The 20,128-nt window shown below is 36.6% G+C and overlaps 1 protein-coding gene and 1 non-coding gene across 14 annotated transcripts in view; one reads left to right on the top strand and one right to left on the bottom strand.

Annotated features, from left to right (window-relative positions):
- Positions 1-20,128, bottom strand: part of TENM1 (teneurin transmembrane protein 1) — an 828,410-nt gene that overhangs the window by 547,692 nt on the left and 260,590 nt on the right. The window lies entirely within an intron of this gene.
- LOC124905282 (small nucleolar RNA U13) lies at positions 4,925-5,023 on the top strand. Its single transcript, XR_007068444.1, has one exon. It is a non-coding gene; the product is annotated as a small nucleolar RNA U13 (small nucleolar RNA).

A 20,128-nucleotide genomic window follows, 5' to 3' on the forward strand; every position in this document is an offset into this window, starting at 1 on the left:
AGGTTGCAGATGAAATTAAAGTTAATAATCCGTTGACATTAAGATAGGGAGACTATTCTGGATTATCTAAGTATACCCAACGTACTCACAAGGGTCCTTAAAAGTAGACGAGTGAGGCAGAAGTATCAAAGAATGTATGACGGGGAAGATGGATCAAATAGACATGAAATCGCTGGCTTTGAAGATGGAGGAAGAGATCATGAGCCAAAGAATATGAGCAGCCTCTAGAAGCTGGAAAATGCAAGAAAAACAGGTTTTCTCCTAGAGCTTTCAGAAAGGAATAGAGCCTTGCTGATATCTTGATTTTAGCCTGGTGAGACTCATTTCATACTTCTGACTATCCAGAACTGTAAGATAACACATTTGTGTTGTTTTAAGCCACTAAGTTTATGGTAAGTTGTTATAGTGGCAATAGAAAACTAATGCAATATTATAAAATGTAAATAACAGTTTGTTTCCAAATTACTGTGGACAGTGGATGGATAACGGGGAAAAGTCAATTCAAAAATTAAATGAATTAATATTCTTACATTGTTTATTCTTCTTTCCATTTCCTTGTTTAATTTTCGAATTGACTTTTTGTCCCTTATCAAACCCCTTCTTAGAAATCTGCAAATTTACTGGTACTTTTATTTTATAATACATTTCAATCTAAACTAACAAATCTTTCAGTTATAATGCCCCATTTCTCAAGCATTCATACTATCTGAAGTCTAACTGTCTTTTAAATTTATAAGCAACAGATAACATGAGGATTGGACCTAGGAAGAGGGTGGCAGGAACTATGTCAAATTTAACCTTATTTCACTTTCACCTTCTCTTTTCTAACGTTTCTTTCCTTTATCTCTAACACCCTGCCCCCAACCAAGTATGTACTGTTCAAGGCTCTCTACCACAGAGCTTTGTGCTAGGCATGACCTTCCTGGCAAATATCTTATATTTAGACCAAACTTTCCTATTTCCGTCCTTAAGAGTTACCTGCTCTGCGTTACCTGTTCTCCCAGGGACCATGACATTTTGTTATGCAAACCAATGAACAATTTCATAGTGTTAATGAAGCCAACACTATTTATATGTGGGACAATGGCTTAACCTTTTTGAAGTGGTTTTGTTTTCCGGACAGGGATGAAAATTTAACCAAAGAAATGACTATTTGAGGCTGGAAATTTCAGGCATTGTGGCAGGCTATACAGGAAGACATTTGTGGCTGGACGAGGAAGGAGTCTTCATGCCATACTTCACTGTGCACTATCGAAGTGGGCTCCTACTCCACCTGCATGAAATCAAACATGTACTAACAGTGTATGAACCACCGAACAAGCTAGATATCCTGGCCATAGAGGCTATTGTGCCTCAGGGCCGCTCTAGGGCAACCACAAGAACAGATAATTGGGCCTGTGAGCTGACAAATCAACTTGTACCCACACCATTAAGCAACTGTAATTCACTCTGAGTCTAGCAGAGATCCCATTGTTTACTGCTATAAAATAAACTCTATAAAACTTATAAATATGGAGACAGAATTTAACATAATGCTGCATAGGGTACCTTATATCACAGAATACTAATAAAAACTTTTATATTATAGAAATACATTTTAATAATGTTGTGCTTAAGAATAATTATACTTTGAATGATTTTCATGAGAGGCATCTTTCCCTATATTCACTTCAATATTATGACTGGGTTTTCTCTTCTAACCTATATTAGGTTAATAAATTACTTGGATTTTAAAGGCTATGGTGAATTATAGACTTAACTAAAACATGGACTTCTAAACTGGCTTGCATGATTCCACATTGGCAGAATTTAACTGCCATTATGAATTACTTGTTAATTATGCTATTTACAGTTTATATGCATGCTTGAGAATTTTAACATGTTTAGCATGTTTCACTTTTTTCTGCATAAAGACTAAAAATATATAGGTTTGTGTGTGCTGCACTGAATCATATTTTAAAATAGAAAAAGTAAAGAAATTAATGTGCAATTTTGGCTATTGTTTGCATGGTTGTTAAACCATAAAAGATAAACAAAGTGGAGAAGAAATGAAAGAAAAAAACTCATTTAAGTATAACTAAGTTGTCAAAGGAATAGTTACAAGGCTTATAACTGAGCCCGAATGTTCAGCATTGAATCAAAACTTTGGAACTGGAAGAGGGTTTTTCATGTATTTGTTCTAGTGGGTCACAAATTCAAATATTTACATGGGCCAGGTAAATAACATAAATGAATGAAGTGGCTCAGCTATGACAACATGGATTAGTAGTGGCTGTGGAAACCCAGAGAGTGCATGCTCTGTCTCAGAGGGATCATGCTGCTCAGCTTCAGCTGGTTTCTGCCCTATGGGAGCACAGGCCCAATTTTGCTGGACTTTTCAATACTTTGAGACAAGCTGGAAACCAATACTTCTATATGCAGCTTTTTACTTTTAAATGCTAATAACTAATTCAATTTTTAAAGTGTTAGTATCTGTGGAACATATAGGGTACATGGGATGTCAGATTAAATCTCTGATGAAGCCCAACAGAAAGGAATTGTACAGAAAAGAATATGGAAACATATACTAAGTCACTTACGTGCTGGCCACATGTAGTAGAAAGAACATGGGATTTGAACTCAGGCAGATGCAAGTTGCAATTCTAACTCTGTCACATAACCACTAGGTAATGTTAGGCAAGTTTTAAAAACTCTCTGAGCCTCAATTTCCCTCTCCTTAAAATGAAGATAACAATACCTGTTGCATAGGATGCTTGTGAAGATTTATAAATAAAAGTAACGTGTGGGAAGTGCCTATGGTAGATCTTGGCACCTATGAAACATCCACTCTTTTTACCCTTTTCCACCAGTCTATGTGCCTACCCTGTTTTATTATTTTTTTCAATAGCAATTCTATAGACTTGGAATTATATTATGCTCCACTTCCTACTAGAATGTAAGTTTACATGATGGTAAGCAATGTGTCTATTTCTTTTCACTGCTGTATTCCCAACACTAAAAATACTGCCTGACCCATAATAGGTGTTCAATTAATGTACGTTGGATAGATAGATTAATGATTTTAACAAATTTTAGTACACTGACTCCTTCCCTTTAATGAATAAACACACACAAGTACATATACATATATGTTATCCAAGCTCATAAACCAAGTTAATGCTGTACTGGAACTTGAATTCACATCAAGTTATTTCGCTATGATTATTTTCATTGCACTATTAAAGTCTGTCAAAATTATGCAATGTTCTACATGGACATACTCATCTCTTGGGATTATAGAAAATACAATCTTTGAGGTATTTGAATAGCTTTGCAAAGGAAGTCTTCCTCACACTTCCACTGACTTTGGTGGTTAAAGGCACTTGCAGTGCTCTGTGGATTATTCTAGGTTTTTCATTCTGACAAAAAGACTATTAACTGCCTTTGTAAATCATAACGACAACAATTTTACATATATCTGGCATATTATACTTAAAAATACTGTAAAATGAACTCATAACTACAAATGTCAGTTGAATCTCACATCAATCTTTTGGGGTAGATGGGACTGGAACTATTTTCCTCATTTTAAAGAGATATCAGAGACACCCAGTGATAAACACCTTACCTAAAGTCACAGTATGGATAACTAAAAAATCTGGCAATAAACCATAGTTCTAAGGTGATATTTTATATTCACAGGACCTATTGAAGACTTCCCACTATAGCCAAGACTTCTGTATTTTACAATCTGGATTTTTTCTTCCCCTCCCCACTTACATAAAAACTAGCCTGTCCTGGGCCCTATTTCTAATCCTGCTACCTCTTATACTTGTACTTGGTATTAATACAACAAACTTTACTGGCCAGAGCCCACTGAGTGATAGAAAAATAAACAAACCAAGGACCTGCCCTCAAGAGCTTTCTATCATCAGTGTAACACAAATATTTAGTCTGGCTAAAATATATGTCCCTTGTAAGAAGTGTTATGCCTTAAGGGACTATATGAGGGGGGAAGAGAGAAAGATGCTGGTGCTAATCTAATACAGTGCTTCTCAACTCGGCATACCTATTAGAATCCCCCGAGGAGCTCTGGAAAATACCAAAGCTTGGATCAATCTAGGGTGGAGTCTGGGCAGTGGACTTTTTGAAAGTTCCCATAGGGATCCTAAGGTACAGCCAGTGTTGAACCACCACCAGTCTAAATGGAATAAATTGCACTGTAGGGAAATAACCGAGGAAAGCAAAAGACAAATACCTAAAGACAAACTTGACCTTCTTTTCCCTTGTAATGCCATTTAATTAAACAGATCTTAATACCAATTATATTTACAAGATTTTCATTGAGGCTGTAGCTTTCCTGAGACTTAATCTCCAATGATTTTAAGAAAAATATTTTCCTCCCTCAAATCTGACAACCAGTGTCATTTGATGATGATGTAAATATGATCAATTTTATACTAACTTACAAAGTTTGGCAGGTGAAAACCTAAGTGTATACACAAGCAAATGAATCAAAACTGAAATAACTGTCTTAATTTTTATGCATAATTCAAGTGAAACTTGGTTTATGTCCTGATTTCTCTGCATTGCCCATTTTCTTACTTTAGTTTGTTTTTATTTGGGATGGCACTTGTTTACCCTTCTATTTTCAGCTACAACCTAGGTTTGGGTTCATCCATCTAAGTTATTTTGGTTTGCTTATTTTTACCTCTTACTTACACATATTTCTTTTCTTTTTCTTAAAAAACCTCCATATTTTTCATACATTCCAAGTTTCCTAGAATAGTCATTTCCAACATACTACATCAAACTTAGATGGAAAAATTTGTGAGCTCGGTCTAATAAAAAGGAATGGCAATTCCTTAAAGAACATCTGTACAGATTGAAGCTAATTAGAGACACAGAGATTTTATCCAATGATGTAAGTGCATATAGTCCCTTCAGCCTTGGAAACTGACTCAAACAATAGGTTTTCATATTTATGTGTGAGATGTGCCTCTTTCAAACCTTGTTACAACTTTGGCACATTACCCATCTGATGTGAACTTAGATCTTTTTAACACTTTTATGTTTAACATAAAAAACAACGGGAATCTAGGATTTTGTTGGGAATGGCCTGAATGACTTCCTTGAAGGGTGAAATTGAAGTTAAATATGTGCTTATCCAATAGCTATAGTAATATTTGTATACCTTTCTCTACCCTCTCCAACCTGTCCAGTAAATCAGTACCATATTAATTGTGCTAAAATGCCCCTTAAATGACCATGCTATGCTCCCACCTTTCATCATCACACGTCTCCCATTTCTTAATGTATTGTATTCAAAACATTTGACTTGGTTTTCAAAGTACTTTGATACTCTGGCCCGACCTAACTTATTTTCTATTGATTTCAAACATCTTCCATGTCAATCAAGCTGGTCTCCTGTTGTACTATATAAATACCAGGGTGTTTTTGTTTTGTTTTGTTATGTTTTGTTTGTTTTTTGCCTTCCTCTGAATTGTTCTCAATGTGCATAGATTTCCTTCCTTTTCTCACTCTTACTCTTTAAATTCGACCTGTCTTATGCGTTATAGGATGAGTTCCAATTCTTTTCTGAAGACTCTCCCAATCTAGTGCTCTAACTGATCTCTCCTTTTTCTAACATCCTAAAATACTCACCCTCCCTCGAATGTGGCATTTGATTAAATATAGCCTTGTCACTATTTTAGTTACTTTAAGTATGTCAGCCCTGTAAAGAGTCTGAGGGGATTGTTTATGCCTGTTCTAATATATCCTCCTTGCTTCTAACTTGGTTCTAGGCATATGGTTAAGGCATAATAAATATTTGCTGACTGCTAACTGATGCTGGTGTTGCCTAGTAGCCTGGGCCTATACACACTGTCAGTTCTGTCAACAGAGGCTGCGAAAATTCTACCAGAGATTATGTCTGCACAAAAATAAGCCTCTGGCATAAATTGCGATAGCTGCCACTAGAGAATTCACCTGCAGGAAAGGGACCTCAGGCATATTACCTGGTGCTCCCAGAGACTCTTATGCCAGGTTTTCCACTGTCAAAATACAGCTAAACCATGTGCTAATGTAGTGATGTGAGTCTCTCCAATAATTTACTGTAAATTTCTACTTGCTTAGTTTTCTGACATGGCTTTAGCATCCTAATTTCCCATAAGCTATGCCTCAGAATTACTATGGATTACAAATTTGTGGAAAAATTGGGCATACTCTGAGAGTCAAAAATTAGCATTTTAAAGAAGCACTTTATTTTCTGTAAAAACCCTATTTTCAAAGTTAAATATTCTATTTTATTCTGAATGAGCAAAATAAGCCTAAGGTTTCAGAGAAAAATATATTCAGAAGGTAAAGGATTTAATTCCAAGATCTGGAACTGTGAATCCTTTCTTTGAACACAGCCTCTCTTTTCTTTTACTCCTTTCCCCACTTTAATTGCTGTCACCTCATACCGTAACCTCTATTTCCCAGACTCTGCCGTACTCTCCAAGTCTCTTTATCTTGCTTCTTCTTCCCCGCTGCCACCCCATACCCCGCACAGACATGCACAGACACACGCGACAAGCATACGGCCCACCCACCTCCCTAGCCAAATTTCAACCCATGGTCATACAATTGACACTTTAAGAATGTATTTCTTTACAGTCTATATTGTCTTGCTCCCTAGTTCTTCCATTCTTTTTACATTGACACAAAGTAAAAATTCAATTGAATAAACAGTAGCAGTTACTATTATTTTCATATAACACTATCAGAATACCAACTTTTCTGCACGGTGCATTGCCTTACTGAAGTCCCTGAGGACACTCATGATGAAAGCCCTTAAGCTCACACCATTCACTCCTCTGAGGCTCTCACTATATCTTTCCAACTGTGATTACACATTCATTTTATGCCCCCTTTGTGTACCGAATTGATACTCATGTTGCACCTATACATCTGACATCTTCAACATGTACCCAAATCTTTTATATATGTGCACTTTTTCTCCCTCACTTCATCCTAAAGGACAGGTAACTTGATTCCTTAAGTGTTAAAATGGTATGCTTGCTTCTTTTGTACCTTACCATGGGACCACTGTAAGGGTCCTGCACACTGTGGGGGCTTGATAAATGTTATATTGAGAGTCAAATACATGCCTGAAAGAATCCTTTTAAAGCTAACCCTCAAATACCTATAAAATGCCCAAGGGAGCCCCACAGAGGAATAGGTGAGACAGAGCACAGCAGAGCTTATTAAAAACGATCTGGGCTTGCAATACAATTTCTTTTAGACTGGATTTTTCCTTAGGCTTAAGACACGTGCTAATTCTCTCAGCTGCTTTAATCATGTAGATATTAAACAATGAGGGGGCATCAAACAGTCTTTTAGAGTTATGAGAAGTGCATGCTATGAATAGACACGAGGGAAGATGAAAGCCAAGCATGTGGCGACTGGCAGTCCCAGCAGCAGGTGTCTTGACTGAGGACAGACCCCAAGATCTACTGGAAAATGCAAAATGGAGAAACCCAACGCTGTCAGAGAAGAAGGCTTCAAAACTCAATCCAAATCAAAGAGGGCTGCAGACTTTTATGGAGGCTTTTAAAAGGAAAGTGTTAAGTTTGTCTGAATTGTAAACAGAATCCATCTGAAGATGCATTTTCCCTTAAAAAGTCATCCCAAAACACAAAAGCAAAAAAAAAAAAAAATCAACAATCACAACAATAACATTTCAAAAGATTCTAAAAGGAGGGAGGGTTGACAGCCAAACCTTTTTTTAAAGTAATGGTAGCCAGGAAAGAAGACGATGGGTTGTAAGAATTCACCACCTGGAAAAGAGAGTTACCTGGGGAGTGACAGCTGCCATAGGAAAAGTAGAACAAACACACCTGCTGTCAGGCACACCTGTTCTTTTCAGGGAGAGGAACCATGAGGCTGAAACAGCAGAAAACGCCCAAGAAAAGGGTAGGATGACTCTTGCAACCCTTAAATATTTTCCCTTACTCCTCTGGAGTTATTTCCTCGGCAGGAATGGATGCAGAGTAACCACATAAGATTTCACCTAAGTCTTTCAATTTTCATAGTCTCTCAAATTCCTCTTCTAGCTGATAGAAAGAAATTCCTTAAAGGCCCCAAGAGAGAAGGGAGGCAAACATTTTCTGTGGCCTACGCTGGAGAAAGAAGATACACTATTATGTGCTATATTAAAATGTGACTTAAAGGTGTTGAATCTGAGGTGGCATGAAGCCTACTGGGACTGGTAAGGTAGACAGAGATTGTAAGGGGAGGGAGGACGCCAAGCGCACGCACACACACACACACACACACACACACGTACACGCACACACACCTGCCAAAAGGCCTTACTTCCCCATAGTAATTGTTTCGCCTTTAACTGTGGATGCTCACTTAAGAACATGCCATCATTTCTGGTTCCACAAAGCGGCTACCTGGTCATTGATGCTTGCAAAAGTCGAATTCTGGGCTTCCACAGTAGCCCAGAGAATATTTAAGGCCAATGAGAATAAATCAGACCAAAAGGGCAAGATAGCTCTGTAGCAGATTAGCTATACTAGCTTTGTAAACGTTCACAATGCCCTACAGGAAAGCCTGCTGCCAGCAGATAAGCCAAACTAGAGTTCAATATCAGTGGCAATATTTTGTCCTGCCTTGTAAAAAAAATGATCTAGCAAGGGATGCAACTAATTGAGGCAGTGGCAATAGTGAGATAGAAGGAATTTTAAATGTAATTCATGCATAGTCCATAAATGGACTAAAAAGTACAGTATTTTTGAGTACCTACTAGGAACTCTATGTTAGGTATTGCAAGGAATTCAAAAGACCTCTATACCAATACAATTAAAAGTATTTGCAATCCTTAAGGAACTTAACATTTCACTGGGGAGACAATCTTTACAACCAGTGCTTAAGCCAGTAAATAGTCAACTGCAAAGCTGTGAATGTCAGACAATAAAAACTGGAGTTCACAGAAGGCAGTGAGCAATATATGTGGAAGTCAGAAGTTGTGAAGGAAGACTTTATCAAAGAGGCGAGACTTGAGTTAGGCCCTGAGGATGAATAGGATTTGGAAATGCTAGAAAGAATCCAGAAAGAATGTATGAAACTAAGATGCAAAGGAAATATGAGATTCCAAACATGACCTTCAGCATGAGTCTCAGTTACTATATTTACCCTTGTGTGTAAGAATCAGTGTATTCTTATTAATGTGGAAATGTAAGTCCCTAGGGATTCAAGTGAAATAAATTACCACCAATTTACATGGGGTTTTTCTAACCTTGCACATAATTCAAACGGAAAAATAAATTTTTAAATTTTTACCTTAATTAAATTTCAGGCATCTCTGCATACTTAGGTTTAAGATCACAATCAGTACTGGAATAAAAAATCCCAAGAGTTGCCTCTGAAAGGGTTCCACAGTCAAGTCACTACACTTGGTGAGTTCATATTCAAATCAATCATAAATTCTATTTTAAAATAATCCCAGGAGTAATCTTAAAACCAAATCCTCCAACTCTATAGCTCCAACTTTTGATTATTCATGTGGTTGTAGTAGAGAAAATTAACCTCTGCTTTTCATGAAGCCCTACTTCCAGATTTTTATGCTGGGGTAGCAGTATTAACCAGTTTGTATTTCACCTTTTTCAGCTCTCCACACTGCCAAGAAGGTGTTAATGAGCAGTGAAAAGGCCAAAAGGCCAGCAGCCAAAGGAAGAAAGGCACACAAAATACAATTGGGAAAGCCCTGTTCCAACAACCCAACTTTGTGAGCATTTGATTCACCAGTCAAATAGAATATGTCCATGAGTTCAAAGAGTATAAATAAATCCAAAGATTTATCAAGAGTGATTAGAACAGTCTTGAGTCATTTCTCAACTTACAGACAATTTTTAATGCAGTATTTCAAAGTGCACTTTAAAAGGAGGGACTAGAAATTATCCATTGTTAATTTTAGAAAGACGTTTAAAGTCCTCGTTAATGTTCTACAAATCCAGAATTTGTTAAAATTTCGACAGGCTTTGTTAGAAATTTACTATTAGTGAAAAATGTGCATAAAACAAATTAATTTCAAAATTAAAATTTGGAGAGGAAAAGCTTAAGCTTCTTAAAATAAGCTTTTAAAAAGCACTTTAAAGGCATACATTTACATTCCAATAACTGGTAATCATTCTTATCTGTTCATTAAAGCAGGAGTCAAAGGATCTCTATTTGGCCACACTTTATTTACCCAGTTTAAATTCCATTGCATTTTAGGACCATTTTTGCATATTCTACTCTATAATTTTTATAGAGCTATATAATATTACTTGTACTATTTTGCACAATTTATTTTCCACCTAGACATTTTCACATTTTATCTCATGTTTTTATTACAAAGAAGAATACTTTGTAATACACACATTATATCTTTTTATGTGCATATACCTTTATATATGTGTATCAAATGAAATGTGTGCATATTTGTGTATACATGTATGTGGATTACATATTTTCAATGAAATTTGGGAGCTTTTGATGCAGACTGTTCTATACTTGGTTAATTTTGTTTAACAATATAATGTATTGGAGATATATCTGTCTACATCTTTCTCAATGGCTGCATAGATGGAAGAATTTATTTTTTAACCAGTCACCACAGATGGAGATTTAAAGCATTTCCATTTTGTTTTTGTCAGATATTACTACAAGTGTCCTCCAAACAGACTGCATTACATGACAGTGCCTGACTCCATGCATTTTAGAATAATGAAAATGCAATTCTTACTAACATATTCAAACATTCAGATGAGCTTATTCTCAACTGGTCTAAATTAGCTAGGTCCTACTATACAATACTTTGCTTTTGGAGACACTGCTGCTATTGTCATGGCATACTCTGCCCTCTTTGCTAAAGATTTCAGCTCCTTTATATTGTGTATTTGGCATTTCAGGGACAGAAGGGAAAGGAAAATGGATTATGTTCTCTCCTTTTGTATTCTTCTTGACTACTGCCTGTATGGCTTGTGAGGAACTGCATTTCTTAGCGTGTTAGAAACAACGGTGGCAGAACAGGTAGGAAACCAGTGGTGCAGCAGATCAGAGTGTTAGTCCGGCAGAAGATAGGAGCAGTAGAAACAAAAGGGCTATAAGATAACCAAATATAATTGAATTTTGAGTAATCAACTCTTTCATCTTTCTCCCAAAACCCCATTGGTTTGCCCAGTGGAAGAAAATGGAGCCCTATAAATGGTTTAGGAATAAAGAGAATGTGACTATGAACATTCTTTTGAAAGATTATATTTTAAATATCTCCCTGTATGTTACACAAAGCTGTTTAATTGTATAGGTATCACTTATTGAAAGATCGTTTCACATTGTTCACTGTGAATTAAGTGGAAAATAATAACTGAGGAGAGTTGAGAACAACAAAATCTCTCTGGAAATAAAATATCCTCTTGTAACAGGTGGGCAATTTGAAGGATTAAATTAATGCTTTGGGGCACCATTTAGACAGTGGATTGACAGTAAACTTACAATATTTGAAAACAAAAAAGTTATAGTAGAATTATTGATGATTTGGACAGTTCACTTCTCCCTGAGTCCAATTCCCTTTCTGTAAAGCTAAGTGGCTATACTAGATGATTTCTAACAGCTCTTTCATTTCGATGATTCTGATATTATGGACATATTTAATAATAATTGTAATAGGCATAAAATATTCTGTGGCCAGAAATATTAAGATGCTCACTTTTGTATTTTTCTTAAATCCACTATTGGTACAATTTTTCCTAACACAGCCTTTTGCTCCTCTGTGCCTGGCTAGATTTTACTTTTGAACTTAACTCAGATGTCATATCTTCCAGGAAACTTTCCCCGACCCTTCTAACCCCTTATTTGAGTTAGATGTTCCTCCTACTGTTATTATCACACTGTGTTTTAAATTATCTGCTTTTTTTTCAGTCTCCTTATTTGATTATAATAAACTCCTTTTTGGCAGCAACTATGCCTTTGCATTCCCAGTGCCTAGCACAATACCTGCGACATAGCAGAGACCCAACAAATGTTTACCAAATCAATTAAAGCATGACATTCAAACACTCATGTCAATAATTTTTTACAGCAGAAATATCTGAAATTGCTACATCATTGGCTGGTAAATGCAACTGCCTATTTATATTCTTAGATGTCTCATGAGTATCTAAAAATGAAAATATTTAAAACAGAATTCTTGATTTCTAACCTGAAACCTATTCCTTTCTCAGTTTTCCGGACATTAGTTTCCTCCACCAGAACCCTGACTGATTCCTGATTCTTCCCTCTTCCTGTCCACTCAAATACAGCCCTGAACATAAGGTCCTTTAGGTTATATCTCAAGAATATATCTCAAATTAGTCCACTTGCCTCTAGCTTCACCTCTTGCATGGACTTCTGCAGTAACTTGATAACTGATTTCTCTTGTTCCTTTTTGTATTCCCCATCCATTATCCAAACAACTGCCAAAGTACTCTTTTATATATGTGAACCCCACTGCTGCCCCTGATTAAAACCAATCAATATAGTCCCATTACCTTAGGAGAAAGTCTAAAATCTTTGGCATAGTTTTCAAAGCCCTTAGGTCTTGTCTCCACCTGACTCCCCAACTTCATCATGTAGTACATTTTCTCTCCCTTTCTGCAACATAATCACATTGGTTTCCTTACAGTCATTAAAACACACCAAACTCTTTCGTGCCTTATAGTCTTTGGACATGCTGTTTCCCCTTGCTTGGAATGCTCAGTCCCTGGCTCTTCACATGCTCCGCTCTTCCTTATCCTTCTTATCTCAGCTTAAAGATTACTTCCCTGGACACACTAAGTAGATCCCTAGCCTCACCCTGTTATCTTCTAAGAATACACTCTGTTGGTCACCATAGCACCTCATAGCACTATTTGGTATCCCTAAGTAGTTTATCAGCTCAATGAAGACGGGGTATATATTTGTTTCATTCACCACTGTACTCAGTGCTTAGTACTTTGTCTGGCACACAATAGATGTTCTCTATTTCTTGATGTAACACTAAGCAAATGCAAAATAAATACTAAGAGTGCAATGACAATGCTGTACTGTTTTGGTGCAAAATCAAGCCTGGTTAATCACAGAGGTACAATCTTGATGAACAGATATTCAGTGCCTATTCACAATTCTTAAAAAGTAGTATAACTAGGCCGGGCATGGTGGTTCACACCTGTAATCCCAGCACTTTGGGAGGCCGACGTGGGCAGATCACCTGAGATCAGGAGTTTGAGACCAGCTTGACCAACATGGTGAAACCTCATCTCTACTAAAAATACAAAATTAACTGGGCGTGGTGGCACATGCTTGTAATCCCAGCTACTTGGGAGGCTGAGGAAGGAGAATTGCTTGACCCAGGGAGGCGGAGGTTGCAGTGAACCACGATCACGCCATTGCACTCCAGCCTGGGCAACAAGAGTGAAACTCTGCCTCAAAAAAGAAAAAAAAAAAAAAAGTAGTGTAACTATTAAGCACTTATCCACGATCTTTCAGCCGTAAATAAATACTGGCAAAAACCACTAAAGATATTCACCCATTTATTTACTCATTTATTCAACAAATGATATAATAATAGAAAATCAATAATGACTATAACTATATAGAGATACACTGTTATCATAAATGAATGGATTCGATTACAAACAACATGGAACAATCAGCTAATTTCAATTTTTTGAATAGTTATATTTAAGTGCCTTTAAACTTCCCCAAAGGCATATGTTTATTTCTCCTGTCTAGACTCTATACATAGAGGATAGGGTCCATAAATTGTATGTTTCCTGCTCCAATAGTGCTTATTGCAATGCTCAGCAAATAAATAGATGATGCTCATCTAAGTGCTTCTCCCTGTATCTGTACCAACATAGACCCTGAGCTTTTCCATAACAAAACTCATACTAAGATCCAAAAGAAGATACTCCCTGAGAAAGGAAAGAGAAAATACAGATAAGAAAAGAAAACCCTAATAAGAGCTGAAAAGTCTGTCAATGATGATGGACAGAAAAACATTAGAAGAAGCACTACTACGCAGCATCAGATGCATATATTTACATTTAATTTGAGGGTGATAAACTTAGCACCATACAAACGATGTTTGTTTATGCCTTCTAGTAGCTTACTATCCAAGATACTGATTATACTGCAAGGTACATAAATAATTTAAAGGGCTATTTTTCATCCTGCCTCATATAGCAACTCGATGGGCTATGTCATTGCAGTATATTATTTGTTATTGAATTTCCTCATTTTCATTTGCTGAGCTGATTTTTATCAATATTATTACAGCTTCTTTTTATTTATAGCTTCTATTAATCTTGACATCATATTGCTTGCGTTGAAGATTGGTCTGAAGTGTTTCTATTAAAATTATTAACATTTTTCACTGAAATTTAGCCAAAATATTAAAGAAAATACATTGTAATATAACTCCATATATGTTTATGCAAAGAGCAACATAATTCAATTCCTGATGTAAACCCCAACAACCCAGTCTCCTTAATATAATAAAACACGAATACAATATAAACCTATAAATGTCTGGACATGATGCCATTTCTGAAATAGGATAGCAATTAGGTAATATTTGGCCAGAGAGGAAAAGCAAGATTTTTGGAAATTATCCTCCTAAAGCTATAAATAACCTGCTAACAATTTCAATTGAAGTTCAAATTATAAGGGCAAACTGGCCACTCAAACTGTTTTCCGTGAGAAAAAGGAATTTAGAAGTGCCTTCATTGTTTTTCTGCCTGTGTGATGTCAAATATCTGCTTCATTTAAACAGTTGAACTTCCACTTGGTTGTTTCAATATCACATAAACATTGCCTAAAAATGATTTTTACAATAAGAAAGCCTGTGATATGTGGAGACGACTACTGCAATTTTAGGTTTCACAATAGCCACAGTAAATGATTTGCCTCTAGCAAATCCATCTACTTACATGCCAGTAGAGGAACATGGTTTAATAAATCTGAATTGGCTCTGAAATGGGAATTGCATAAGGATGACAATAGTGAGAAATATGGTAAAATGGAAGAACTATTTTTGAAATCTCTTTTCTTCATGCAGAAGACTACTGAGAGTTTCTAGAGTTGCTGAAAAGGGTAGAAACTACATGTGTGGATTTCTTAGTGAACATAATCTCTCCACAGATTCCTGGCTAAATAGTAAAACTGCAGCATTCTGGTGAGTAATTGTATATACATCGATGCTCAAATGAAGGCACTCTGTAGAAGTTGTATGCACAATAAATCACCATCTGTACTTGGCCCTTGGAGTCTATTTGAATGCCCATTCAGTCCAAGCTGGCTGGCTAGATATGTCATTGATTTTCTTCTTCAGTGCCATCCCTGGGAAAAAAGCCAATGTTTAATAATGGAAAAGATCACAACTTAAAAAGGGAGGCGGGGAGATAGAGTATTTTTGAACCCCAATCAGCAAGTTTTTGGAAACTGGGTACACTAACAAGGTATTTATGGACTTAGGTTGGATACAAATAAATATATAAAAACAAGTATTCATCTGAATAAGAAAGGACATTACAACACCTTTGACTAGGAAATCTTACTCCGCCAATGATAGCCTATGCTTATACCTATTGGACTTCCTCATGGCCATAAAACCTACTTTTCAACCTTGACAAAGACCACAAGATTGATAACCTTCTTTTATTTTCCCAATCAGTCCCTCTCCTAACTTCTGCTCTTTTCTATGGTGGTCTGGAATCCAGGATCAGCTGTTTTAACTAGTCTTTCAACAGCATTACCTCTGCCTTCTCCCTCATGTTTCTACTTGACCTATCTTATCAGTCGAACCTCCAAGAAGTTTTACCTTGGTTTCCACTGTTTCTGCACCTGGACTGATAAGAAAATTAAAATTACTGTATTTAATATCCCTTTCCCAGGAACGTGGCCCTCAATTCGAATGATTACTATAAGAAAAGGCACTTGATTTGACTGGATAAATCCTAATAGCCATTCCTTACAGTGGCTTCAAAGTCCTATGTGATCTAGCTCCTGCTAACTTCTCCCACCTCATCTCACATTACCCTTCTCTTCACTCACTAAGATCCACTCACAGCGGCCCTCTTTCTGCTAATTAAATATCCCAAGCTTATGTATCAGTCAGGGCTTTTGCCCTTGTTCTTCCCTCTGTCTGAATAATATTCATCCAAATCTTCAAATAGTTGGCTTATTCTTGTGATCCAGGTGTCAGCTATTCAGACTTCCCTGACCATCAAGGCTAAATAAAGTAGACCCTACTGCCAGTTACTCTTTGTTATAATCCTGTTTTAATTTTTTAATAAAATATATCAATAGCCAAAATATATTGTTTATTATCAATCTCTCCTTACTAGAGTATAAGCTCTTAAAAGTAGGGACCATGTCTATGTTTTTCACAACTCTATCCCCAACACCTAAAACAAGATCTGAAACATTGTCAGAACACAAAAAATTCTCATTGAATGATGGACTCAATTGCCACAGTCATCAGTTCATGTGTGAACATCTGACCTAAGCTTTGTCAATCAAAGTACATTCTGCAGGTCCTACCCCTGGCCACAAGTGATTGATGCAGGAGTGGGCAACTGAACAAAGCAAGGCTAATCAAAGTCCTTGCTTAGGATTCTAGGTCTTGGACCCATTAAATACACTGCTTCTATATCAGGGTGGTAAGAAGAGATGGTCAAGAGCCTGTATGAGCCATGTTTCACACTTTGTGTTTACTAAGCCTGTGTACATGAAAGAAAATGAAGTTTAAATTCAATGCCCACTAGAAAAATATAAATACTATATTGATCATATTTGATTCATTAGCTCCAGTTATTTCCTATGTCAGTCATATCCTTGCCCTTTCTACAGTTTGCTATTCTAAACTTTCTTTTGTTCCCTGAGCCAATAAATTCATACCACTTTTTGCTTAAGCTAGTTTGAGTTGACTTTCTGTCACTTACAACCGAGATTCTAACTTATATACTAACTTTCCCTGCAACCCTACTACCACTTTCCAGATTTTTTTCTGTCTCATTGTTCATTCTGCTAATGTTTCTTACTCTACTCACAGCCCTCTCTCCCTGAATCTTGGCAGACGACATTGTCTCCTACTTAACATAGACAGCAGATGCTACGAGACATGACACATTCCCTCAATTATCCCTGCTCCTCTCATGTTTCAGAGACCAAAAATTCCATCTGTATTCTGGATCCTTTATTTAGGCTTTCTCCAGGACCTTGCTCCATCAGATACTACCTCTCTTTTCTATCACTTAATATTTTTTCTTCATTAGTTCATTTTCCCTTGACTATAAGTATTCATTCATTCATACTTCAAATATTTATTCATTGCCACTGTGGGAGGGGCAGGACTAGGTTAATGTACATGCTTATGTTTCTTTTCCATCCAAAAAAACAAATTAATGAGACAACAAAAAAATTCCTTCCTAAAACCTGTGTTCTCTTTTAGCTATTGCCCCTCTCTCCTTGACCATCCCATCACTTCTCAGCCAAGCATCTTAAAAGCCTATACTTGATGTCTCCACTTCCTTTTCTTTGCATTTATTTATCAACCCACTGAAATCTTTCTTATTTCTCTACTACTACACTAAAAATCTCTTTTTTCAAAGTCAGCAATAAACTCCTAAATGCCAAAACTGGTAAATATTGTAGTCTTTACTTAACGAGACCTTTTTTTCATATACGATACTGTTCCCTCTTTCTGGATTATTTGTTCTTTCTTGTCTTCTATAATACCACTTGTCTTGAATTTCCATTAGTCCACTTCTCAGCAATTTTCCTGGGATCCTTTTCCTGTCAGTCATTTAAATGTTTAGTGTGCTACATGATTTTGTCAATTGCCTCTTCCTTTTATGTTTTCTACTCTGTACATGCTCTTCCAGTGTGATCACACCAGTCTCAAATATCAGTTATGTATCAACAATATCCAGATCCATTTTCTAGCCCCAGTACTCCAAGTCTTGTATATCTAACTTCAAATTAGATATTTCTATCTGGAGAAACTACAGCCCTGTGAAGTCACGTTCAAAAGAGAATCATTATTTTTCCCCCTAAAACTCTGCCTTCTTGCTTCCCTACCTTCCTTTGTTGATTGCTAGCACCATCCTCCTCTTTAATGACTTGCCAAAGATAGAAATTGTATTAGTTCATTTTCAAGCTGCTGATAAAGACATACCCAAGACTGGGTAATTTATAAGGAAAAAGAGGTTTAGTGGACTCACAGTTCCACGTGGCTGGGGAGGCCTCACAATCATGGTGGAAGGCAAAAGGCATGTCTTACATGGCAGCAGGCAAAAGAGAATGAGAGCCAAGTGAAAGGGTTTTCCTCTTATAAAACCAACAGATCTCTTGAGACTTATTCACTGCCATGAGAATAGTACGGGAGAAACTGCCCCCATGATTCAATTTTCTCTCACTGGGTCCCTCTCATGACATGTAGAAATTATGGGAGCTACAATTCAAGATGAGATTTGGGTGGGGACACAGCCAAACCAGTTTTTTTCAGAAATCTTTATTATTTTCTCTCTTTCATTGCTTACAACCAGTTAGCCCCTAAGTCTTGCCAATTTAAATTTATCTCCTATGTATGTCTCCCTTTTAGAAAATTTGGATATTTAATGCCTAAGTTAAGCTCCTAATCATCTCTTTCTCTAGATTATTGCAACATTTTCCTAACTGATCACTTTCAACCTGTCTTTCACGCTTCTAATATATCCACCTCATTGCCTACAGAAACGACAAAAGTTTTGAAATCCTCCCCACTGGAGAGGAATGTGCTTAAAGCACACTAAAGTTCACCTTGAAGATTATGCTTTCCCCCCCGCCCCGCAGGGCTCACTATGAATAGTTCCAAAATGTACCTTTGAATTTTTCACAATTATTTTGATAAGACTACAATTAACCAAGTAAAGTAGAAGTCTATTAACAGTAACAGGAAGTCACTGAATACTGGTCATAGCATTGGGCAGAGAGGTAAAAAACAGCGGAGAAAAAGAAATGGTAATGTAATTTAGAGGAGAACTAAATTCTTACCTGCCTTTTTGTTACAATTTGTCTATTGCTAGGGTTCAAACACTTCTTCTGAACCATGTCTTCATGTATATCATGCTCAATATTATATTAGCATATAACTTGGAAGTCATTTCTGTTCTTTCGTATCTCAACACAAGCAGATAAAGACATATCGCCAGTTTTATTATTTTTATTTCAAATAGATGTCTTGTCACTTTCTAAGGTCTGTTCTTCAAATGAGGAATTATAAAGAAGAATCTCAGAAACGAGCATTTCAGTTTTAGGAGACTAAGGAGGATCAGACAGGCCAGTGCTGAAAAGGAAACCATCACACAGAGATCTTGTTGATTATCCTAGCAAATCTCTCTTTTCATTTTACTTTTCTTCTTTGGTTCGAAGATTCTCTCTAGAGGCAGAAGGGAGGGCTGTACATTTCAAATTATTTTTAGGTCTTTGATTAACTGTGCCACCAGACCCCAGGTGACTATTAATATACTAGTAAAGGCGGTTAAAAGAAGACCTGAGGTCATTCAGTGAGTGAAAGAAGCAAAATTGAAAGCATGAGTTTTGACCCAGTGATATGATCTTTCTAGTAGACCACATAGTAGAGGCAATCCAAAAGGGGGCAAATGGGAATAAGGGACACTATCTGCACAAAAGGTTAGAAGACAAAGCTACTCAGCATGGAATTCAGAATTAAAATGAAAGAACTTACCTAGTGAACTTTCAATTCAACCATATCTCAATAAAGCTCAATCCTATTATAACACAGCACACGATTATAAGGCTACAAATGTACTGCAGAGAAAATCCTGTGTCTTGAAAAATAAAAGCTCAGTAAAACAAAAGCCAAAATAAAAAAGCTATCAGTTATGCTTCTCAACATGAGTTTTATAAAGCGGTGCTGCTGTATTAAATTTTTGTCTGTGACCAAAAGAAAATTTCTTGAATAGCAAATGCTCCATAAATGCTTGTCCAATTGAATTATCTAATTGGCTAATGTCAACTTTTTAATATTTAAGGATCACTGGGGATTATACATTGATTAGCTAACAAGTACTTCTTATCCAGAGAAAACTGGAAGCTC

Source organism: Homo sapiens, chromosome X (genome assembly GCF_000001405.40).
Source record: "Homo sapiens chromosome X, GRCh38.p14 Primary Assembly".
Lineage (NCBI taxonomy): Eukaryota > Metazoa > Chordata > Mammalia > Primates > Hominidae > Homo > Homo sapiens.